The sequence below is a fragment of the Homo sapiens genome, chromosome 5 (genome assembly GCF_000001405.40).
Source record: "Homo sapiens chromosome 5, GRCh38.p14 Primary Assembly".
NCBI classification, from domain to species: domain Eukaryota; kingdom Metazoa; phylum Chordata; class Mammalia; order Primates; family Hominidae; genus Homo; species Homo sapiens.
This window is the reverse complement of record NC_000005.10, coordinates 78629481-78653079: the sequence shown is the minus strand read 5'-3', so window position 1 is coordinate 78653079 and position 23599 is coordinate 78629481. Positions and strand designations below refer to the sequence as shown.

General features: G+C 46.5%; 1 protein-coding gene and 1 pseudogene across 6 annotated transcripts in view, besides 4 other annotated features; both read left to right on the top strand.

Moving 5' to 3' along the window:
* Nucleotides 3770–4709: a silencer, noted in NCBI's record as "silent region_16124". NCBI's record gives its function as "represses an Ori minimal core promoter by ATAC-STARR-seq in GM12878 lymphoblastoid cells {active_cell/tissue: GM12878}" and the evidence as "EXISTENCE:reporter gene assay evidence [ECO:0000049][PMID:35858748]".
* The window catches only part of LHFPL2 (LHFPL tetraspan subfamily member 2), a 163543-nt gene continuing 144251 nt past the window's right edge, over nucleotides 4308–23599 (top strand). For 5 of the 6 annotated variants that reach the window (XR_007058567.1, NM_005779.3, XM_047416606.1 and 2 more), the window contains exons 1-2: nucleotides 4308–4581; nucleotides 20712–20816. The gene's annotated coding sequence lies outside the window, so the exon portion shown is untranslated. The remainder of the gene's footprint in view (nucleotides 4582–20711; nucleotides 20817–23599) is intronic. The other variant, XM_006714515.3, reaches the window with a different exon arrangement.
* Nucleotides 5000–5059: a silencer, noted in NCBI's record as "silent region_16123". NCBI's record gives its function as "represses an Ori minimal core promoter by ATAC-STARR-seq in GM12878 lymphoblastoid cells {active_cell/tissue: GM12878}" and the evidence as "EXISTENCE:reporter gene assay evidence [ECO:0000049][PMID:35858748]".
* HMGB1P21 (high mobility group box 1 pseudogene 21) lies at nucleotides 8130–9002 on the top strand (annotated as a pseudogene).
* Nucleotides 19233–19732: an enhancer, noted in NCBI's record as "H3K4me1 hESC enhancer chr5:77929171-77929670 (GRCh37/hg19 assembly coordinates)". NCBI's record gives its function as "activates a minimal SCP1, AML or CMV promoter by ChIP-STARR-seq in primed H9 embryonic stem cells {active_cell/tissue: H9 hESC(primed)}" and the evidence as "EXISTENCE:reporter gene assay evidence [ECO:0000049][PMID:30033119]".
* Nucleotides 19733–20234: an enhancer, noted in NCBI's record as "H3K4me1 hESC enhancer chr5:77928669-77929170 (GRCh37/hg19 assembly coordinates)". NCBI's record gives its function as "activates a minimal SCP1, AML or CMV promoter by ChIP-STARR-seq in primed H9 embryonic stem cells {active_cell/tissue: H9 hESC(primed)}" and the evidence as "EXISTENCE:reporter gene assay evidence [ECO:0000049][PMID:30033119]".

The window sequence follows — 23599 nt, the reverse complement described above, 5'->3', positions numbered from 1 at the left end:
ATGATCATTTGCAGTTTTAGGAAATATAGGGCTGGGCGTGGTGGCTCACACCTGTAATCCCAGCACTTTGGGTGGCTGAGATGGGTGGATCACTTGAGGTCAGGAGTTTGAGACCAGCCTACTGAAACCTCATCTCTACTAAAAATACAAAAATTAGCAGGGCATGGTGGTGTGCGCCTGTAAGCCCAGCTACTAGGGAGGCTGAGGCAGGAGAATCACTTGAATCCGGGAGGTGGAGATTGCGCCACTGTACTCCAGCCTGGCAGCAGAGCAAGACTCTGTCTCAAAAAAAAAAAAAAAAAAAAAAAAAAAAAAAAAGAGAGAGAGAAAGAAAGAAAAAGGAAATATCAATTAATCTCTTAAAGTGGGTGGTGGTGGATTTGGGAAGTAGGTTTTAATGAAGATGAATAGGCAAACTTAAAGTTAATCAATAGTCAGTATGCTGACAATCATGAAAATATATCAGTGCTTTCCTGTCTGTTATAAATGCATATTTTATTTAACTCCAAGCAGATTCTTACTCAGAAAAAAATAGGATGCAAAGTGTTCACATATGAAAAATTGCTAGCCGTGTTGAAACAAGGTACTCTAGGTGGAGTACAGTGTTCAGACATTCAAAGAATAGAGTGATTTGCACAGGCAAGTAAGTTCAGTACCATACATTTTAGCCAGACATCACTGTAATTTCACCGCATGACCTATCCAACTGGCTCAATAATCTTCTTCCAAGGCCTCCTTGTCATTTGACCAAAATGTGCAGACACCCTTTAATTTCTCCTAATTTCCTCTTCGTTTATGCCTTGTAGTGAGTGCTTCTTGAAAATGTGTCTGAAGCACATGATAAAAGCAGGATTCACGATATCCCAAAGTTCCTGCTGTTCTCTTTCTTTCCACAGAACTTAGAATGTACTTTCTTCATGAACTACACTTTTTAGCATCTGTCTCCTTCTCTATTCTTCCCTACTTTGCCATCCCTAACTTCTTGCTTCATATTAAGTGTAATTTATCTGCTCTTTAGACCCAAGTTATCCCATCTGGGGATACATGTCTTGATTTTTGCCCAAAAATCTGCAAACACAGTTTTGAGAAAAATTAGTTTTATATTTTACAGGTAGTTCTCCTGTGAATTCCATAACACAGAGTATTAAATGGCTATAATTGCCCTAATTTACATGTCCCAATAGTAGTTTACTGTGTCAGACACTGGGGAAGATACAAAGACGTAAGTAAGGCTCAACCCTAGTCTTCAATAGATTAAAATATACATGCATCAATTCAAGCTACACACATATGAAACATATATCCTGAATAATACAAACCATCTGGTGATGTGTGTTCAAGTCTCCACAACCCATGAGGGCAGACATTTTTGCATTTCTTTTTGTTCACTGATGTATCCCCAGTACCTAGAACAGCCAGTCCCTGGCATATAGTAAGTGCTCAGTAAATGTGTGGGATGAAGTATAGTCTACTTTTTTTTTTTTTTTTTTTTTTTTGCCGGACTCTCTCTCTGTTACCCAGGCTGGAATACAGTAGTATGATCTCAGCTCACTGCAACCTCCACCTCCTGGGTTCAAGCAATTCTCCTGCCTCAGCCTCCTGAGTAGCTGGGATTGCAGGTGCCCACCACCATGCCCAGCTAATTTTTGTATTTTTTTTTTTTTTTTTTGAGGTGGTGTCTTGCTCTGTCGCCAGGCTGGAGTGCAGTGGCGTGATCTCTGCTCACTGCAACTTTGCCTCCTGAGTTCAAGCGATTCTCCTGCCTCAGCCTCCCGAATAGCTGGAACTACAGGCGTGCGCCACTATGCCCAGCTAATTTTTGTATTTTTAGTAGAGATGGGATTTTACCGTGTTGGCCAGGATGGTCTTGATCTCTTGACCTCATGACCCGCCTGCGTCGGCCTCCCAAAGTGCTGGGATTACAGGCGTGAGCCACTGTGCCTGGCCTAATTTTTGTATTTTTAGTAGAGACAGGGTTTTACCATGTTGGCCAGGCTGGTCTTGAACTCCTGACCTCAGGTGATCCGCCTGTCTCGACCTCCCAAAGTGCTGGGATTACAGGCGTGAGCCACCATGTCCAGCCTTAGTCTACTTTTTAAACATAGAATTAAGTACAGTGTACTCTGTTATCAAGGCTGTTTCTGTAATGAGAGCATGGATAACACAAACTAACTCATTAGTTATTAGATATTAGTAAAATGGGTGGAGTTGTGTTGGTTCATATTCAAGGGTTCCCAGCACTTTAATGTTTCTGCACCACCAAGTAACTACAGCTGCAAAACACAGCAGGGTGCATCTAGTTACAGAGAACACAGGGTGCTGTAGGCCCATTTCACCCTACATTCTTTCTCTTGGATTGATTTGGCCTTGACCTCTCTACCTTGGAAGGATTTGTGGGATGTGGGTTGGGGGACAGGACAGAGAGTTCTCCTCTTATTTGTACATTTTGTGTTTATCTCAAGTCAGCAGCCTCAAACAACTCCCCTTCAACAGTTATCTTCATCTTTTTATAAAAGTAAAGTCGTATATTTACATGTACTATAGTATTTATTAGGAATTTAACACAGTTCATTAGCTCTACTGGTATTTTTTTTGGAATGGTTAGTTTTTGTTAGTGCTGTGGTTACAATGTTACATAGATTCTGAGTCATTTTCTAACCCTACTTTCCCCACAAGCCCTGTTATTTCTAGTGTGTGATTTCACAAAATGGAAAGAGCACATATATCCTTTTAGAGCAAAAATGTGGTACTGCAAACTTCATTTTCAATGAAGATAAGTGGAATTTGGCTGCGGGAGAAGATGAAAGAGAGCATTCCAGCTCTGGGAAGAGCATCAGCAACTCTCGTGTAGATACAGGCATGGATCTTTCTCGGGGGGAGGGGAGGATCCCCATCTAAAGAGAGTCCCAGGCTCTGAGAAGTGCGTATGGAGGTGCAGTTGTTGTATGGTTTTGAACTGATGATTTTTAAGGAATTCAGAATGTTCTCTGGCAAAGTGCCTCAGAAAGCTTCTAGAACAGGAAGTGGCCTGCCTGAGGGGTATTCTAGAGCCATTCACCTGTAGGCCTGCGCATATGGATGCAAGTGTAGAGAGGACCCCAGCAGAGAACCGGTAGGAGGCCGCTCACGCCATCCAGTGCCAGATAGCGAGAACCAGAAAGGCGGCAGTGGGCTTGAAAGGACATGGCACCTGGAAAGGCATTAAAAATGAAGAACTAATGGGACTGGCTACCGGGAGTGGAGGAGCGAGGCCCAAAATTGACTGCTAATCTGAATCTGGGCGACTGGTGGATAGAGGTGTCCCAGACAAGGGGCTGAGAAACTGGGAATGGGAGCATTTGACTGGGCGGGGGGCGGGGGGGTGGCGAGGGGTGGAATACAAGATGGGTTTGCCTAGAGAGGTGCCACGTCCTAACAGTTCAATCACAAACAATACTGGCACCTGAATTCATGGCCATTTAACTCTGTTCTTTGCTCCCAGCCCTGGGGGCGGAGCTGGGGAGTTAAAGCATCCCCTCTCTGGACAAGAATGCCTTTTCAGGCTGTTCCTAAAGCGCCTCCGAAAATCATCCTGAAACCGTAATTTTGAGGGCAGGGAAGCTGAGGACACCAAGCATTCTATTTAGGAATAATCTTTGTGACTGTTGGAATTGAGTTTCCACACCTAGATATTCAGAGGGCACGGGAACTTATGTCCGGAGCCTCCTCTCCGGAAGAGGGCGGCGAGGATGGGGGTCCAGGCGCCCCTTGGCCCCTTTCCCGTTTCGGACTCTCCGGGGTCACCAGACGGCCGTTCTTTCCGCTTGGGCCCGGGTCTGGGGGAACTGCTCCTAGCGCCCCGGGGCCCGCTCTCCGCCGGAGCAGCCTGGCCTCTCTCCCCCGGCTCCGTCAGCGCCGCTCTCCGCCTCCGGCCCTCCCGGCAGGGCTGCTCGAAGCTGCTCCGGGAGCTTCCCCGGTGCGGCCCGGAGGAACCTCGCAGGACCCCGGGAGACGCCGCCGCCGCTGCCCGGCGGGCTCAGGGACCGGTTCCCAGGCCCCCACACCCCCTCTCGGGGATCCCCTGTCGCCGACTCCCTCCCGGACCCGCAGGACACTCCCCTCCGGAGGCCGGGCCTGGTCCGCCCGCCCGCCGCCCCCGTCCCGCCCCGCGCGCCGCGCCGGGAGCCCCGAGCCCGACCCCTCCCCCGGACGCCCGGCCCGCTCGCGGGACGGAGGCGGCGATGGTGACTGGGCAGCGGCGCGGGGCCGGGGCCTGGGCAGGGCGGCTCGGCCGCCTCTTTCTCTCGCTGCCCCCGCCCCTCCTCCTCCTCCCTCTCCCCGAGTGCTAGCCCGGGCGGCCGCCGAGCTTGGCGCTCTCTCGCCTCGCTGCCTCCTCCCCCGCGCCGCGGACCCTCTCCCCTCCCTTGCGTTGCCCCCCTCTCCCGCCGCCTCCTCCCGCTCTCCTCTCGCTCTCCTCCCGCCTCCTTCTTCCAGGCGCGGCCAGCGGGGGCAAGAGCGAGGTGGCTGCGAGGAGGCGTCACTGAAAGCCCTGACTTGGGGAAGGCTGCGGGCTCGGAGCCGGAGACGCCGAGCTGGGGCCGGGTGAGTGGCAGGCGTCGGGCCCGCGCGCGCTGCGGGAGGGGAGAGCCGGTGGGCCCGGCCAGGTGGGCGCCCCGCGCGGGCGCATGGGGAGCCGTTGCGGCCGGCCGAGCCCTGGCTGCTTGAGCCGCGGCTGGCGCGGGAACTTCGCTTCGGCGCCCTGGGAGACCGCGCCGAGCGGTCGGAGGTGCTGCGGGATGGGCGTTGGGTGCTGGGAATGGGAAGGGAACAGCTGCTTCTCAGCGCCGCCGGCGGCCGCAGAAGTGGAAAAAAGTTGTGCCGGGAACAGCGTCTCCTCGGGAAGCCGGCGCGAGCCCTGCTCTCTGGGCGTCGCTGGCGGGCTTCGGACGGCGGCGCGTGGGTCCCAGGCGCAGCTGGGCGCCGGGTTCCAGCGCGCCTGGCACCGCTCCCTGGGGGCCGCCCCGTGGTCGCCCCTGCTGTCCCTGGTCCGTGGCGTGTGGGTCACTCTGGCCACAGACGTCAGCTGCTTCTCAAATCTGGACTGCATTTTTGTGGGCAGCTCAGTGATTTGGGGTGCGGGCTGGAAGAGGTGGGCGTGGAGTGGGGAAGACCGCATCTGGGATGGGCGGCTTGAGCCCACGGGCTGGGCAAAGGACTGGGGAGACTCTGCGTGTGTTTCTGGATGTTTTTAGGCACACAGTTTTTTTTTTTCTTTTCCCTTCCATTCAGCGGCCCAGTGTTCTTCGAACTTAGAAAAGCAAAGGATTTTCTTCAATCCCGTTCGACTTTTCTGTTATTTCAGGATGGTCATGAGTTCCATGAAAGTCCATGTGCTTGTTTCAATGGGAGCAACACCAGAGTAAAGACAAAGTCCTATCCCCACCCCCGTCCTCGCCTCCACCCGGGCCATTTCCTGTATGTCCCATTTTCTCTGTTGTGATTGTGCGAGTGTGTTTGTGCATGTAGGTTACCATCGGTGGGTGACCTACGTGGAAAGGAGAACTCTTTGAAATTGCAACGCGGCCGCTATGGAAAGTGTGTGCTGGAGCCGAGGGAGGAAAGATTCCGGCGAGCCAGAGCTGTTAGAGGCTCACCCCAGAGAGGTAAACCGGAGTAACTGAGCTTGAAGGGACATTTATAACCTGCACATTGCTTTTGCCTTACCCCTTGGCCAGAGAGCTCCACTCCTGCTAGGTTTAAGAGAGGATCAGATACTGACTTCTTTGATGTTGACTTTTGCTGGTATTCCTGATTCTTTCCTACTGGTTCTCTTTTAGAAACTACTCCTTTTTAAATTTAAGAGATAGAGAACACATGTTCGCGGGAAGAGGAAATGTTTTTTAAGATAGGAAAGAGAAATAGAATCCAAGAGTCTCATTTCTTTTTGCTGTCATACTGTGATAAGCTTATTGATCTGTTAGAAATCTGATTCTGATTTTGAAGTAATATCAGATAAAACACTATCTTATAATAGTATTTTTCTCTAAGTGGTCACATGGAGAGCAGACTGTGGCTTCTTGTGGTTTGCAAAGGGTGCAGCAAACATTTTATATCAGGAAAAAGACATTGTGTGTTGTAGGAGAGGGGGATGGGGAGGGGCAGTCATTTGTCTTCAGAGCAGCCTAATTAGGAAGAATAATTACACTGCAAATGAACATTGTTGAATATAAATTGAGTCATGATATGTGAACCAGTCATTTGTCTATAGGAAGGAAGAAGGATTTTTGTAGATGAGAACAAAGCAGTGCCTTCTGGAAGAAGTAATGTATGCTGTTCACCGTATGCATGGGCTCGGTGTTGATGGCACCCAGTGTTTGGGCAGGGAGGAAAAGTCCATAGTAGGAGATGATAGAAAAACAATATATAAAAAACTACATATTTATTTTTAATGAACACTATATACAGCTTCTCAACTTCTTTACTGCAAAGAATTGATGAAGTGGTAAACCCAAATATAGGAGACCCAAATTTGGGCTATTGGGCTCCCAGATGTACCTAAACCTTGGGCATGTTATTTAATTTCTCTGTTTCTGTGTCTATAAAATGGTGATGATAATAATTCAGCTCGGATAATTCCCTTGAAGATTAACTGATTGCTTTTGTGCAGGACTTAGGATGGTTCCTCACGCTAAGTGCTCAGAAAGTGTTACTGATGATTATCAGGTATTCCAAATCCCTAGGAAAAAGTGGTGCCTGTTAAACAGCTATAATGCAGAGATACCTGGTTTTAGAGTCAGTGGCTCTGAGTTGAGTCTGGACCCATGCCCTGCCAGCCTACACTCAAAAACACTGATCTTTCTGGAACTTGCAAGCTGCATCCTTTTGGCTCATTCTGATTAGCCTTTTCTGGGCCTCCATTTCCAGGGAGTTTGTAGTGCAGGCAGTATTTGGGTCTAGAGGTAGAACCCAGATGTGGCTTGCAATTCCAAGCTACATGTCCTGTTGCAATGGCAGCTTCAGGTATTAGGTCCCACCAAAGTGAATATCCAAATTTTATTTTAGGTAGAAAGAAAACTATAGTAATGAACATGATAAGTGCCTCTCTTGGGACTCTTAAAAGCAACATTTTACCCAATGCTTACTGCTCTTAGATACAAACAAGAAGCAAATAGCTGATCTCTAGAATTTACTCCAAAAAGCTTTAATATATGCCTTGGGGGCTGGGCCCACAGTGGCTCACACCTGTAATCCCAGCACTTTGGGGGGCTGAGGTGGGTGGATCACGAGGTCAGGGGTTCGAGACCACCCTGGCCAACATAGCGAAAGCCTGTCTCTACTAAAAAGACAAAAATTAGCCGGGTGTGGTGGCATGCATCTGTAGTCCCAGCTACTCAGGAGGCTGAGGTAGGAGAATCGCTTGAACCCGGGTGGCGGAGGTTACAGCGAGCTGAGACGGCACCATTGCACTCCAGTCTGGGTGACAGAGCAAGACGCTATCTCAAAAAAAATGTGTGTGTGTGTGTGTGTGTGTGTGTGTGTGTGTGTGTGTGTGTGTGTATGCATCTGTCTGTCTATCTTGGGGTTAATGATGCAATTCCCAGTTTTTGCTAAGATTGTGCCCAAGAGAAAAGTGAACTGAAGACATTCTTAGCACAATAGTACTTCTTGAGAAGAAGAACTCTGCTAATTTAGGGAGAGTGCCTGTTTGTTCCTTCATTTATCCAGTCATTCAGCAAATACCTAGGGAGCCACTCCCTTGGGCCAGGCTCTGTTCTGGGCTCTGGTAACACAGCAAGTACCAAGAGTAGGCCTCTACTCTTACAGAGTACACATTAGAAGAAAAAAAAAAAACCCATACACCTCTGTTTTCAAAGGACTTCCATAGACCCTGGAAGCTCCCTTTTTGACTCAGAAGAGCTGTACTGGAATGCAGCATGTTGGGTGTCCTTGCCTTCCACTCTCCAGCCTGGTCAGAGGGAAGTGATCTGGCTGGGGCTGGGGGTGGTAGCAGGGTATGGCTAGTCCTGTGGGTCTTCCAAAGGGAGAAGGGGAGGCCTATTTGTTTCTGTACTTTAGAAAGTATTCAGTTTTAGTGGCTGAGCACAACTACTGGCCAGTGAATCAAATTGTTTCGCATGCAATGAAAACAAACAGCTTGCAGTGTACTGAGCACCATAGAGACAGCCCTGGGGCAAGTGAGAGCCAGACAGGCACTGGGCGACTCTGTGGCTCACTGAGGAAAAAAAGAACTAAACATGGGCAAAGGAGATCCAAGGAAGCTGAGAGGTAAAATGTGATATGCATTCTTTGTCCACACTTGTTGGGAGGAGCACAAGAAGAAGCACCCAGATGCTCAGTCAGCTCCTCAGAGTTTTCTAAGAAATGCTCAGAGAGGTGCAAGACCATGTCTGCTAAAGAGAAAGTGAGATTTGAAGACATGTCAAAGATGGACAAGACCCATTATGAAAGAGAAATGAAAACCTATGTCCTTCCTAAATGGGAGACAAAAAAGAAGTTCGAGGATCCCAATGTACCCAAGAGGCCTCCTCTGGCCTTTTTCTTGTTCTATTCTGAGTGTCGCCCAAAAATCAAAGCAGAACATCCCGGCCTACCATTGGTGAGTTGTAAAGAAATTGGAAGAGATGTGGAAGGGCACTGCCGCAGATGATAAGCAGCCTTATGAAAAGGCTGTGAAGCTGAAGGAAAAATATGAAAAGGATATTGCTGCATAGTGAGCTAAAGGAAAGCCTGATGCAGCAAAAAAGTGAGTTGTCAAGGCTGAAAAAAGCAAGAAAAAGAAGGAAGAGGAGGAAGATGAAGATGATGATGAATAAGTTGGTTCTAGCACAGTTTTTTTTTCTTATCTATAAAGCATTTCAACTCCCTGTATGCATTTCACTTCTTTTAAAGAAATTGAAATGGAAGACTATGTAACAATTGTTTTGAAATTGTACATTGTCTTTTTTGTATAGTTAACACACTACCAAATGTTATCTTTAGATACCCTGTGCTGGTGGTATTTTATTTTATTTTCCTTTTGAGATGAAGTCTCTCTCTGTCACCCAGGCTGGAGTACAATGGCATGATCTCAGCTCACTGCAACCTTGTCCTCCTGGGTTCAAGCGATTCTCCCATCTCAGCCTCCTGAGTAGCTGGGACTACAGGTGCACGCCACCACACCTGGCTAATTTTTTGTATTTTTAGTAGAGATGGGGTTTCACCATGTTGGCCAGGCTGGTCTCGAACTCCTGACCTCAAGGGATCTGCCTGCCTTGGCCTCCCAAAGTGCTGAGATTACAGGCGTGAGCCACCATGCCCGACCCTGATGATATTTTCAATAGCCACTAACCTCTCCTGATACAGTATGGGGCTTGTAAACTGGCATGTAAATTTAAAGCAGGCTGTCGTTGGTGCACAGCACAAATTAGTCAATATATGGGGTTAGTAGTGTTTTCATCTTCAGTTGTCTCTGATGCAGCTTATGTGAATGTTCTGCTAACTGAACACTTCTGTAATTTCAAAAAAAAAAAGTTGTGGCTGTTTTGTTGACATAATGAATGCTTCTAAGTAAATACAATCTTTTTTATTAAAAAAAAACAGCAATTTTTCCTGCATTTGAGACATGTCAGCCTTAGAAAGGCAAAGAAGGAATCAAAGGTAGGATCTGACCATCGACTTATAAAAGCCAGATTGTGTCCAGAGAAGAGTCTTAGCTGGCATTTGAAATACTTGATTCTCTTTTGGTATAGAAGATGTGGCTGAAAGAGGAAAGAAAAGAGTGAATACTTGGTTCATCATGCACCTTCAAGGTTTTGTTTTTTCTTTTTTTTTCATTACTTTAAAAATTGCAATAATACATGATAAGATAACACATAAGTTTGGAGTCTAGAAGGCTTGGAAAGGTATAGTGCAGCCAGGGCGCTGACAGTAGTTGTTGGACTAGAGTCAAGGTTGTGCTGGGAAGTACCTGAGGGTTTGGGGTCTTGAGCACTGAGCGAAGGGAGTCTGTATTTCATCTCGAAAGCTGTGTGAAGGTTGGAGCATTTGTAGCAGGTGAATGCTGTGATCATATTGCACTTTAGAAACAGCTCCATGGCCATAAGGTGGGCTAGGTAACAAGGAGGGGGGGGAACAAGGTGAGCTGGGAGGCTAGTACCAGAGTGCAGAAATCCTGGCAGGACTGGGTGGTGGAGAGAGGAGAGGCCTGCAGATATTGACCCCACTTCCTGTTCATCTAGGAGAGGGAGTGCACTTTGACTGTTATGGGTCATGGCACCTTTCATTGAGGTAAGCAGTTGTGGGAACCTCAGTTTGGAGAGAGATGGCAAGGAGTAATGAGTTCAGTTGAATCCAAAACTGAACTACAAGCCCTCCAAGAAGAGATGTCCAGCAAAAAGTGGGATTTAGAGGCAGGAGGCGAGGTCTGGAGCTAGAGATGATAGAGGGAGTTCTTTTTACGGTAGTGGCAAGTGTTTGTAGGGAGGCCTCCCTCTCTTGCTTGGCGTGTTGAGGTTTACTAACTGATGCTAGGTGCAAGAGTAATTTGTGTCCTTGTAAGTGAAATTTTCTCTTTCATCCCTTTACCAGGCCTGACTGGCTTGATTGTCCATCAAGCCCTTGACTTTAGCCTCAAATGACCAGGCTTGTACTGATGTTATTTTGCAGACTTGGTGAGTTCTGCTTGTTATTTTAAACTGAGCTAGTTAAGAGGGATGTACCTGGAATGGTTGTGAATGTGTTTGATAGCTAGGATGTGTAACTGACAAAATTGATACCATACACGTGTCTGTTAAGGACTGAATATTTGTGTCCCCCAGATTCATGTATATGTTGAAGCCCTAACCCGCTATGTGATGGTATTTGGAGGCAGGACCTTTGGGAGGTAATTAGGCTTAGATGAGATACTGAGGGTGGGACCTCCATAATAAGATCAGTGTCATTATGAGAAAAGGAAGAGAGACCAGAGCTCACTCTCCAGTGTGTGAGGATGCAGCAAAAAGGCGACTGTCTGTCTGCAAGCCAGGAAGAGGGCCCTCATCAGGAACCAAATCTCCTGGCACCTTAATCTTGGACTTCCCAGCCTTCAGAACTGTGAGAAATAAATGTTTGTCATTTAAGCTACCCAATCTATGGTATTTTATTATAGCAGCTTGAGCATATATGTGTGTGTGTGTGTGTGTGTGTGTGTGTGTGTATACTGTACATTTTCTTAAATACAATAAATATATTTAAGAAAATGTAAGATGAACTTCACTTGCTGAGAATGTAAACTAGTTTTGTGTATGTCTACAAAATATTGAATACGGTTAAAAAGGTGTGTTATCTGCACATTTTCCTAAACTTTAATCAGCTAGATCAGGAGAAACACCCAACTTTGATTTTGACAGTTGGCAGGTCCAGAAAGGAGAACCTCAGTGTATTTGGATTTTTCTTCTGGGTTTGTTCTGACTTTGATTTAATAACATGTTATAATGATTAAGTGGTTTTATGGAGACTATTTTACAAATATTTTTGTCAAACTTTATTTAAGACTTCCAAGGTATTTACTTGGGGGTGAACTTTGGAAGTTCAGTCAAACTAACTTTCACAACTCTTCACCTTAAAAAAAAATAAGCAAGGAAACCTGCACCCAGTTATAGTATTTGAAAGAAGAATATTTCAGCTGGTTAATAATGAACAATGTTTAACGCTGAGGTGACATCAGCAGTAGAAACAATTCTTTCCTTGTGCCTTAAGCACAGAGCATGGTTCAACTAGACGTAACCAGGTTGTCTGGCCTTTGACTGCACAAGGGTAATAGGTGGATGATAGTAGCCCAGGTTGATGTATGGAAACTAGGGTGTTCTGACAGTTTTAAAGCTCTTCCTGTTTGTGGGACTAAGAACATTTCCCTTGTGGGCTGAATCTCTCTGGTCCTAAAAGCACACAGATTCCCAGGAACCCTTGCATTGCTAATGGGCAGCTGCACATGTGTGTGGTTCCCAGGTCTTCATCTCCAACTGCTTTGCACACCCTTCCTCTGAAACATTTCCTTCCCTGCCTTAGAGAGGGTGGCCAGGCTCTCCTACTCTCTGTACTAGGATAACTAACTCTTGTTTTCATGTCCACCAGGGATGAGGTTTATCTACCTTCTTTTTTGAGGTTACCAAATGGCCCTCAAGGGCTACTGGTGTTAATTTGCATTTCATTCATTTGTGGCATAAATGAGAGTGTGCCAAGCAGGCCCCAGTGAATGCTTGTTGAATTGCAGGCACAACCGTTACTCCTCTTACTGCTGTGGATTTAGGGTAAGTCCAGTGGGGATGATTAATCATTGTTAGTCTGTGTAACCAGCAATAACACCTCACCTCATCCTTGCCTGCTTAACAGGGTTGGAAGGACAGAGACTAAAATTTTAACTGGTTATCTTAATGGGGCTATGAGTGACTAATTTTTTTTCTTTATTTTTCTGTTTCTCAGATTTTCTACAAGTAGTATGTTACTTTTTGAAATGAGAACTAAAGAGCTGGGGAAGTATTTTGGTTTTTGTACAAAACTGGATCAGTGGTTTTGGTCACAACATCATACATTGCTTGATATCCATGGTGCATCCTTTGTAAGGCAGTTCCTGTCTTTAAACAGAACTGACGTTCCTACTCATTGTTGATATAGTTATAAATACTGGAAGGCTGCAGGAATGTAACTAGGACTGGGGGTTGCAACCCAAATCCAGAATGGGGCAGCTTCCTCTGAATGATAGGGAAGACCCCACCCCTTATAATGGGTATGTTTGGTATGTTTTCATAAACATTTTAAGTGTGATTTGAGAGGTGTTTCTGTTGTATTGATAAGAAGTACTGAAATAAACCTGATTGATAAGAAATACTGAATTAAATAAGTGCTGTACTGGCATGTTTGATTTTTTTTTTGTTTTTTAATTTCACTGTTCAGTTGAACCTTAACCAGCAGTGAGATCTTAAATATTTCTTTAGCAACAAGCTCCCCACATGCCCGGAAAATTAAGAGGGACTCTTTTTCCTCTCCTGATTCTATTGTTCAGCATTTTCTTTCTTTCCACACTGTGCTGTGTTGTCGGGGCACCTGGAGTTCAAGCTTCCTTTCTCCTGGGGCAGGCTGCAATTGGACTGAATTTCACATGTTTTCTAGTTTTAAGGCATTTAGCCAGTTGTTTAAGGAAGGCTGTAATTGCATTCACAGGAGCCTCATTCAATCTTCAGATAAGTGGTGCATGGCACACACTTATTAAGGGCAAAATAACTTCTTAAAAAATTAACTTTCTCTTGCTCATAGAGAACACATTTTCTGAATTAAAAATAACAGACTGGATAGTCTGGGAATTACAAACTTACCAGTAAGCAGTGTTTTTGTATTTGTAAATGACTAACACTTGTATATTAAATAGATACGTAAGAAAAACATGGCTCACAACTTTAAAAACAATCTAAAATCACATTTGTTTTTTTTTTAAAATGGCCAACTGTCCGTTCTTAGAAGATGATTCTACATTCTAGAGAGGTATGTCTAAACAGATACTCTTTCATTTGCTCCTTCTTACAGTGGGCCTTTCAGGGTTCTTCTGCAGTGAAAACTCATAATTACCGACTTAATTACTGACTCTGCATGGATTCATGCTGTAATTCGTAGCATAGTGTGCCGGCTTAAACTGGTGACTGTAAGTCATTTTTGATCTGAATCCTTTTGGTAAGTGGGTGTGCTTAGGTTGTCTTGACTATTTATGCATTTTGTTTGTTTGTTTGTTTGTTTGTTTTTCCCAGCTTGTGCTTAAGTGTATTGTAAAGAAAGGGCAGCATGAGAGGGAACTAAGCTGATGTGTGAAATGTTTACACTATGTTACCAAGCCAAAAAGAGCTGTAGTCAGGGACAGTATGGGTGAAGAGGCCACACTGAATAATAAGAACCCCAATGGTGGTGGTGGTGGGAAGGTGTGAGAGTTTGTGTGTACACCTGTGTGGACAGGTGGCTGGGGGGCCTCTTAGGATAGTCTGACCAGCCATGTTAGGCAAGAACCACTGCTCCTTTTGGTCTGGAAACTAGACTTCTGGTCCTAAGAGGCTTCTGGCTTTCTTAATATCCATATTGGTCAACAAAACTTGAATGTTTTAAAAAATTTTAAAAACTTAATAACTGCCATCCAATTAGATTTCCTCTAGTTTGGGATGTGTATATTTGATTTTTGAAACCTTGATCATGAGACTTTCATTTCTTCTTGTGAAATTTCAGCTTTCTCAGTTCTGGCATGTTTGGCCTGTCCAGATAGTTTTGAATTCTGACCTGGTCGTCTGTCTTGTCAGCCTTCCCTCTGGGCCACAAGTCATTCTTTGATACATGCAGCCCGTCAGCCACTCAGGTTCTTTGAGTCATTAACTGGTGCTGCTCTGTTAGCCTCCCCTTGTCATTCTCCTCCAGTCCTCTTAGTAACCAAGGGTGCGTCAGCCTTTGCAGGCGGCCGGAGGGCAGAGGGTTGGAGTCTGTGCCAAGATACAGAGGAAGCTAATCATACCCGTGACCTCGACCTCATTAACATTGTGCTGGAACCAAAGAGCCAGCATTCCATGGTATTGTTTGACTTTGGATTGTCTCTGCTGATTTACGATCACGAGGTCTATAGTCCTGCCCTCGAAGGGAGGCAGATGTTAGAGCCAGATGAGAATGTGAGACACAATCAGAACTTACTGCCTCCTTTTTTATGTTTTTTAATTTATTATTTATTATTGTTATTATTATTTGAGACGGTGTCTCGCTCTGTCACCCAGGCTGGAGTGCAGTGGTGCCATCTCGGCTCACTGCAAGCCCCGCCTCCCTGGTTACACCATTCTCCTGCCTCAGCCTCCCGAATAGCTGGGACTACAGGCGCCTGCTACCATGCCTGGCTAATTTTTTTGTATTTTTAGTAGAGGTGGGGTTTCACCATGTTAGCCAGGATGGTCTCAATCTCCTGACCTCGTGATCCACCTGCCTCGGCCTCCCAAAATGCTAGGATTACAGGTGTAAGCCACCACGCCCGGCCCTTATTGCCTCCTTTTAACTTCCTAAAAACTGGGCTTTGGGTTGTCAGCTATTCATTGGGTCCTGCTGATGGTGATCTGGCCCCAAGACAAACCAGCACTGACAAGACTTGAGTGAACAGTGTGAGGGAGGAAGGCCTCTGAGAGGCTGGTGCCCGAGTGGGGAGGCTGATGTTCCAGAGTTGTGGGTAGAAGTCCCTACCCCATCAGGAGGGCTTCTCAAGCTTGACTGTGCCCAAGAATTGGCTGGAATCCTGTTAAAATACAGACTCTGATACAGCAGGGCTGGGTAGGGCCTAGGATTCTGTATCTCTAACAAGCTCTCTCCGTGATGCTTCCCCTGCTACTCCCGTGGAGCTCACTTTGAATAGCAAGGCCTCACATTAAACTGGAGCATGAAAGAGACTATGGAATAGGCATCTGGCGGCTGAGAAATGTCAGGGCTGAACCGTGCATGCCAGGAGGGCCTGTGAGGTCTGACTTGAAGTTGGTCACCTGCTACTTAGGGCTGGCCTCTATCAGGATGAGACTGCGAGCCCTCAGCCCTGGCACTTCCATTTGGGCCTTTAATAGCTGTTGGGAGCCACTGTGCAGGGATGCCTTTAATCCTTTAGGGCAGGGAGGTTATGAGCTCTTCCAGTTGAGATATGGTAAAGGTATAGGGGAAGGCTTCCCCCCCTCCCCCCAAGCTAGTTAAAATGATTTCCTCATTACATGTTGGTTATATTCCATAAGTTTAACTAGATTAGGAAGGCTCTAACTTCCTTCCATTAAACCTGCATTTTCCCACATACCCTATAACTTCAAGGTTATGCGATTACAAAGCTTTTAAAAGGTTGCCTATTGTTTCATTTGGAGCATTATTTCTGAAACTTGCCTGACACTCTGCTAAGGTGCTAGCTAGACATATGTGACCAGACCCTACCCGGGGTTTTGGCTTCATAGGTCTGGAGTGGGTCCTGGGAATCTGTGTCTTTTAAACAAAGCTTCTAGGTGGTTCTTATGATCAGGAAGGCTCTAGAAAAACCAATTTAGAGGAGTATCAGTTTAGAAACCTGTCTGTCTGAGCTTGTGATATTGGCCATGTCTGAGGGACACCCTTGCCTGTTTATTTCTTGGCCTCCTAGATACTTGCTTGTGAAGGGCTGTCTTCTGTCCCATTGGATCCACTTCACTTTTTATCTTAATACATGCTTTTGCTTTTACAGAGAGGCTCTTATCTTGGATGGAGCCAAATCAGAGAGGCCTTTGTTAATGGTGTAAGAAGTCAGTTCTGTGAAGCCTTTATTTTTAGGAAGGTTTTACAGACACTGATTATTAAGTGCTCAAAGATACTGGACTACATAAGCTTTGGGCCTCTGTAGAGAAGTCTTTAAGAATGTCTCGATAGTGATTTTCCCACTCTTTCCTACTTTGGTTCAGACACTGGAGATAATGAGCGTTGTTAAGTAATGGATGACCAGAAATGGATGAAGAAGGGGCCCCATCCTCCACAGACCAGCTTGATTCTGATCCAGGTGAATTGGAAGGTTAAGGAGTTTGCCCTTCCACAATTGTATGAAAATTAACCTCTATTCCTAAAGATGCAGGATCCATCTCAGCCTTACCTTAGGGGCAAAGTCAGCTTATGAAACCAATGAAGTAGGAAATGGTCAGTGTGGGGGGATCAGCTGGATATAGAAGTAGCTCCTTACCCGAAAGGTGGAATTCACTTACTGTTGTACTTACAATTCTACCATTAGAGAAATTGGGTGAAGTGTTTCCCTTTAAGCCTCTTATTAGACGTGTAAGCACACAGAGGACAGGCAATGCATTTGTGATTTATACGTTAACAGGAATAACTTAATAGAATGCTTCTCAGGATCAGAGTATGCAAGAGTGGATTCTGATAGGGTGGAGTGTGGGGCACTCTTCAAGGAGGGCAGAGCAGGAGGCAGGGCCACAGACGGCAGCCTCAGGCACCAGGTGTCCAGGCAGCTCAAGAAGAGCACAGGATGCCTGGGAGGGCACTAGGCAGAACTTGTTCCCATTCATTTAATTGGTGTTTGTGTGCGCGTGTGTGTGTGTGTGTGTGTCTGTGTGTGTGATGGGAACTTTAATATAATTTACGATGCATTTGGCACACTTCTAATGTGGCCATTTCACATACTAGTTGTAATGAAAAGCCAGGTGATCTATATATGAAAACTAAGACTAAACACCATAATTGTACCTAGGATTGTTTTGGTTGGTTGGTTGTTTTTTGTTGTTGTTTGTTTGTTTGTTTGTTTTTGAGACGGAGTCTCGCTCTGTCACCCAGGCTGGAGTGCAGTGGCGCGATCTCGGCTCACTGCAAGCTCTGCCTCCCGGGTTCACACCATTCTCCTGCCTCAGCCTCCCAAGTAGCTGGGACTACAGGCGCCCACCACCACACCCGGCTAATTTTTTGTATTTTTTAGTAGAGACGGGGTTTCACCGTGTTAGCCAGGATGGTCTCGATCTCCTGACCTCGTGGTCCGCCCGCCTGGGCCTCCCAAAGTGCTGGAATTACAGGCGTAAGCCACTGTGCCTGGCCGGTTTTGTTTTTTAAAGTCAGTTTGGTTGTGAGAGAGAAGCTAAATCCAAGACTTGGAAAATGATCCATTTTCTGTACCTGCTTAGCAGGTGAGCTTGGCCAGCGGCAGAAACCATCCCTTTTCCCTGGGGGAAGAGGGGGCGGTGGGAGTGTTGGGGGCGTCTTTCCCAGAGGACTTGAAGAGAAGGGCTTGACTCTCCTGAGATTGCATGCCACCTAGGTAATGTGCATTAGTGCATGCTTTCTCTGTCGTATCTGAAAAGAGTCATTACATTTGCAGAGTTCTCAGCCTCTGGCTGGCAAAAAGAAACTGAACTTGGGCATTCTGCTGCCAAAGCCAAAGCTTGTGTAAGTGGTGGAGTATGTTTTGAGAACAGAGTGGGGATGGGTTGGGAGATTCTCTTGTCTCTGCTGTCGGAGTAAACCAGAACCGACAGAGGACTTACACAGAAGCACTCCCGAGGGACCAGAACTCTGGGAATGTCTGTGAAGAACTGACCCACTCCACGGCTCACAGCCATTTCCCGACTCTTCTTCCCCTGGTGTCCCTAGATTGGGCTTAGTGCCCCACATTCTAAGATTCATAAGATGTTCCTCCATGTTCTTGAAATGAAACACACAAAAAATGATTCCATTCTTATCACAAATAAAATGTCTTTGTCCTCAAGGGGGCATGGTACTCAGGAAAGATGGGAACACAGCCTGTGAAAGGCAGAAATTGATAAGAACTGTCTGTTCTGCCTCCCTGACCTTCCTTTGCTGTTAGCTTGCTCTGCGGCCTTGGGCAAATCATTTTGCCTCTTTGGATTGGAAAGGGTGAGGGGATGGAATGCAGGCCTGAAACTCTTATTCCAGGTGAGTCCATATGGCTATGTATTCAGTCATTTATTCAACACATGCTTATTACACCCCTTGGAAAGCTCACAGTCTAGTGGGGAGAGACAGGTGGAAGAGCCATGATCGTTGAGGGCTAGCAGGTGTGGCGGTGTGTTTGGCCATGGAAGGCCTTTGGAGGCGTGGGACCATAGGCACAGGGGCAGGTGGGGAAGCCAGAGAGCTGCAGCATGCAAACACAGTGTGCTGCCCAAACCTGGGGTGGCAGTTGGGTTTTCTGCAGCACTACTTGAGGTGCACTGAGAATACAGTGTCCTCACTGCCCCCATACCACGCATGACTTCCTGTGAGTTCCTGCAGCACAGCCACCCTCACGGTGGCATTGGTGTTGGGGGCAGGCCCTGGGAACTGAGTGGAGCATCATCTCCCTTCATGACCTGAGTGCTATTTTGATGCTTTGGCCTCCCCACCGCCCCCTAACCCCTTTTGTAAAGAAAGCAAGAGCTATAAAAACACAAACAAGAATGTGAGAACTTGTCTGCTGTTTACAGAAATATGCTTTTTTTGGGGGGAGGGGTAATCTTTTTTCTTTTGGTAAGGAGAAGATAGATATTCAAAGAAAGAGGCAGATAAACTGGGCTCTTCTGAATCCTGAATTACTTTATGGCTCCTGGGCCTTGGTGTCTTTGTAACCACAGAGTTCATTTCACTCTCCAGGAAGAAACTTGACCCTCTAATAAAACCACATGGAGCCTTCCAGGGCGACCTCACTGTTTCATTTATGGAGTGGTCAGATTCTGTATCTAGGTGGGAGGAGAAATGTCTAAAAGGAGAAGCATGCATTCTCTTTCCTTGAAGCTCGAGTTCCCTTTGCCTGTCCTAAAACAGATGAGGGCCCAGGAGAAGAGGAAGGGCCTTGCCTGCACTCCCATCTCCACCTCCCTACCCTGAAGGTGGCTCAGTCCCCTACCCCATTGGTCCACAGGACTAGGAATGGTGCCATGCGTAAAAACCAGCTTTGTGTATTTTTTACAACAGAAATGGGCTTCAAAGCACTATGGAGTGTGAGGCCTTGAGCACAGAATTGCTGCTGGGTTAGCAGGCTGGGCCATCTCTGTACTCTGTCCCCCAGGACTTGCCCTTAGCAAGCATCACCGTCACCCAGAGGACTTGTGAAAACACTGAATGTGGGTCCCACCCCAGAGATTCTGAGTCCCTAGGTCTGGGATGGTGGAGACTTTGTGTTTCTGACACGTTCCCAGGTGATGCTGCTGCACTACACGGTGCCACCCAGGCATTTGGTGGGGGTGTGTTGAGGCAGGCAGACTCTGCCCCTGAGGCAGTGGCACTGAGCTGGTGTCTGCCTGGCAGGAACCACCTCATGCTGGAGGAACCTGGGCTTCAGAAGCAGTGGTTCACTGGAGATGCTGGAGGGAGCTCAGCTTCACTTCTGACCATGAGGGTTGTCTTTCTGTCCTCTCACAACCGACCAGGATGTGGCATTTGGGGCAGCTAAGATGGGGTGTCGTTGCCTCCTTCCAGTTTATTCTCCTCTCTGGTGTTGCTGAAAGCTGTCTGAACCATCACAGTCTCCTCTCCTGTGTCAGAGCTTGCATTAGCCTTAAGGTCCAGTCGAAACTCTCCTAAAGCAGCTGCAAGAAGGCCTCTTGTGACCTGAAATGCTTCAGTGGGCACCAACTTCTTTCTTTTGTGAACTGTGTCCTTGCTTCCAGGACCCCCCCGTCTTGCTGTTCCTTTTGCCTGGCATGCTCTTTGCTTGCCCTCTAGTTTGGCCACCTCCTCATTTTAGCCCTCACTTGCTCTGAGGAGCTTCCTTTGATGCCTCTGAAATCAGCTGGTGCCTCTGCAAAGGCTCATATATACCCTTGTATTTTCCTCCCTTCAGCTCCTATCAGCTGCATCAAAGTCGTGAATGCGACCTATTTATTTTTCTTTGTGGACTGTAAGCTCCCTGAGGGCAGGGAACCCATCACATGTTTATGCAGGCATTTCCAGGCATATAGAAGGTACCTGGCATATAGAAGACCTTCCTAATCATTCTGAGGTAGGTACTGCAGGGGAGGAAACTGAAGCACAGGTAGGTTAGCTACCTGGCTGCAGTTACCCTGTCACTGAGTTGTAAACTAGCATTGTCACCTAGGTCTGTTTGATCCAGCCCCTTGGCCAGGTAACACTAGACTTGTTTTCTGCTCTGAGACCAAAGAGCTTAGCCATAGACTGCAGGTTTCTGTTGGAACCATCGAAAGACTGGCTACTCCCGTTAATAATAAAAATGACTTTTTCCAATTGTTTTTCAGGTGAGTTGGGAATCAGACTCTTGAGTTGACAGCTGGCCTATGGTTTCTGCATTTTGTTAAGAAGCACCTCATGCAAGCGAGGGACCTGGGACTGCTCACAGCCAGGTGGGTTGTCCTTATACCTAGATATGACAATGCACTCTGATAACCACCCGATGTTCTCATTCAATAGAAAGAAAATCCTTAAATGTGGGGCAGCATCTTCTCTAAGAAAGGTGTAAATTGGTCCCTGTGGCTGTTGTGAGTGGCCTGATAAAGATGTTTACCTTGCTGGCTTGCTCCTGGGCATGGCTGGCTTTCTCATTACTCAGCCCTCTTTCCTTTGTTTCAACACCCTTTTCTCTTCTGTTTAGGTCAGTGCTTTAGAATTCCTTTTCCTCCTTTAAGATCCAGCCCAAATTTCTTTTTTTCTTTTTTCTTTTTTTTTTTTTTTGAGATGGAGTCTTGCTCTGTAGGCCAGGCTGGAGTGCAGTGGCGTGATCTTGGCTCACTGCAACCTCCATCTCCCAGGATCAAGCCATTCTCCTGCCTCAGCCTCCTGAGTAGCTGGGACTACATGCATGTGCCACCACACACAGCTAATTTTTGTATCTTTAGTAGAGACAAGGTTTCGCCATATTGGCCAAGCTGGTCTTGAACTCCTGACCTCAAGTGATCCGCCTGCGTTGGCCTCCCAAAGTGCTGGGATTACAGGCATAACCCACCACACCTGGCCCCAAATTTCACCTGTTTATCAACTGTCTGAATGAGAGGCTTTTCAGAGTGTAACCTTTTTTTGCTTCGCAGCAAAATGAATGGCCACTTCTCTGTGCTCACACAACACATTGGACTTGTCATGGTGAGCTTTACGTACTTGTTTGTGCACATCTTTTTCCTCTTGTCTGTGAGTTCCTTTTGGTACCATCTCCCACCTAGCATGGTTTCTGGCATGGAGCAGATTTTCAATAAGTGGAAGAACGTTCATCCCAAGTAGCGTAAGTTATGCTAGGTCACAGAGCAGTAATGCACTAAATGGCAACCTGTGGCCATGAGCAGCCAGACCCCTTGGCTTCCCTTGGAGAGACACAGAGTTGTCAACTAGACCCTGGAAGCCCCAGGCAACCCTGCCATTGGCATGCAGACCACCATAGGATTGAGCATTATCTAAACGTAAAGGCAATAGGGAACAAACAGTAGACTTTCCCAATGGGCAACCTGAAGGAGATTAAAATATGCCTCAGTGGCTTGAGCATTTGTTTTAGAACACAGTTTAGGTTTAAATCATTTTGATACGACACTTTTAAATCAGTGCACTTCAGTTTTCCTTACTCTTCTTAGTAAGTTGGGTGCTTTGAGAGGTACCCGGATTGGCTTGAGTTGATCTCGCATTATCCCGTGGGTTGGGAGTAGAAACCCTCAGGGCAGTGGATCACCTGAATGTTGGAGCCAAAATGAGAGTTGAGTCCTTTCAGGAGCTGCCGGGTGGCTGAATTCTCTGATGCCTGGGGTGGCACTTAAATCTAGCCAGACTACTGTCACTAGGAGAATGTGGTCTTGAGGTTTTGCCCCCGCCTTATTCTGCTTTTGCGTTAACACTACACATTGTTCAGCCTTCCAGTTGCCATCCTGGGTGTTTGCAGCACTAAAGCAAAAGAATTTGTCTTCTGGTTTCTGTGTGTGCTTTCCACAACCTAGTAGAGGTTCCCAGACAGTAAGTGCCATGTAAAAGTAGTCACTTCCCCGTGGTTTCTTCTGCTTGGTGCTGAGTCCCAGCTGTACAGCTTCCTGAAGGAGAATTGAATGAAAGACAAGGCAGTAAAGGAACCTTGACTCCCAGCTGACCCTCTTCATGGTCTTCAAGTTTCCCAGGGGTTCGATAGAAGGAGGATTTCAGCTTTGCCCAAGAATGTCTAGTCTCCATGGAATCAGTTCGTCTATCATACTTGAAAAATAAGCTAAGAAAATACATTGAAATGAAAAAGCCCAGATGTTAAAATATGCATGGGTTTTAGCAGTCTTTGGAACTTGAGATGTTACTGAATGTTTGTGTCACACCATCCCTGAAGAAGCTGCCGCAGGGCATTTGTGGGGAGTCTGGTCTCCACACTGCCCCATGCAGGGAGAGTGCCGGCCACTTCCTAGTGAGCTGCAGTTTACCGAGCTTCTAGGAGATATCTGATCCTCAGACCCCCTCTTGTTTTACAATGCAGTTCTGATCATGTTAGGAAAAGCAGCAACCATGATGAAGTAGGTCAAACCCTCAAGTTATTGAGCTGCCCGGCTCCATGTAGGGGCTCACGAGGTGTGTGTTCAGGCTCACTTCACAGAGGTCGCTAGTTGAATCTTGACTACCCCAAGTAGTCCAAGAAGTGGTTTAGTTCCTGAATCTCCTTAAAGCTTCTGAACTTGTCATACGTGTTTTGGACTTGTTAATAAGGTACTGCGTTTTCATTCAGTGAAATGTTTACTATTTCTGAAGATGGGACTGCTAGAGCCTTATCAGTTGAATTTGTATGTCAGGGTGTGTGTGTATTTTTAATACAGCTGCTTTTATAGATTGGCCTTGATCCAAAGACACTGTCCAACATGGGCCCCTTGTGTCCAGGGTTGACATTTGGGAGAAATCAGAGCAAAGGCAACTAGCAGACACAGCAGCTTGTCTCCTGATCTGGGACTCCAGTGACATTAGCATACTGGGCTCTGCATCGCAGTTTCCTTTATTGCTGAAATGCCTGGGAACCAGGTATTAGTACAAAGATTAATACATGGCACATCCTCCCTCAGCCTTTGTGGATTTTTGTTTTTCAGGTGAAGCCTTTATCTTTAGTTGTAGTTCCTTAAAGAGGAAGCAAAGTCTCTGAAACAGCCTTTCAAGTTTCATTGCAAAGCTGCATGCATATATTGACATC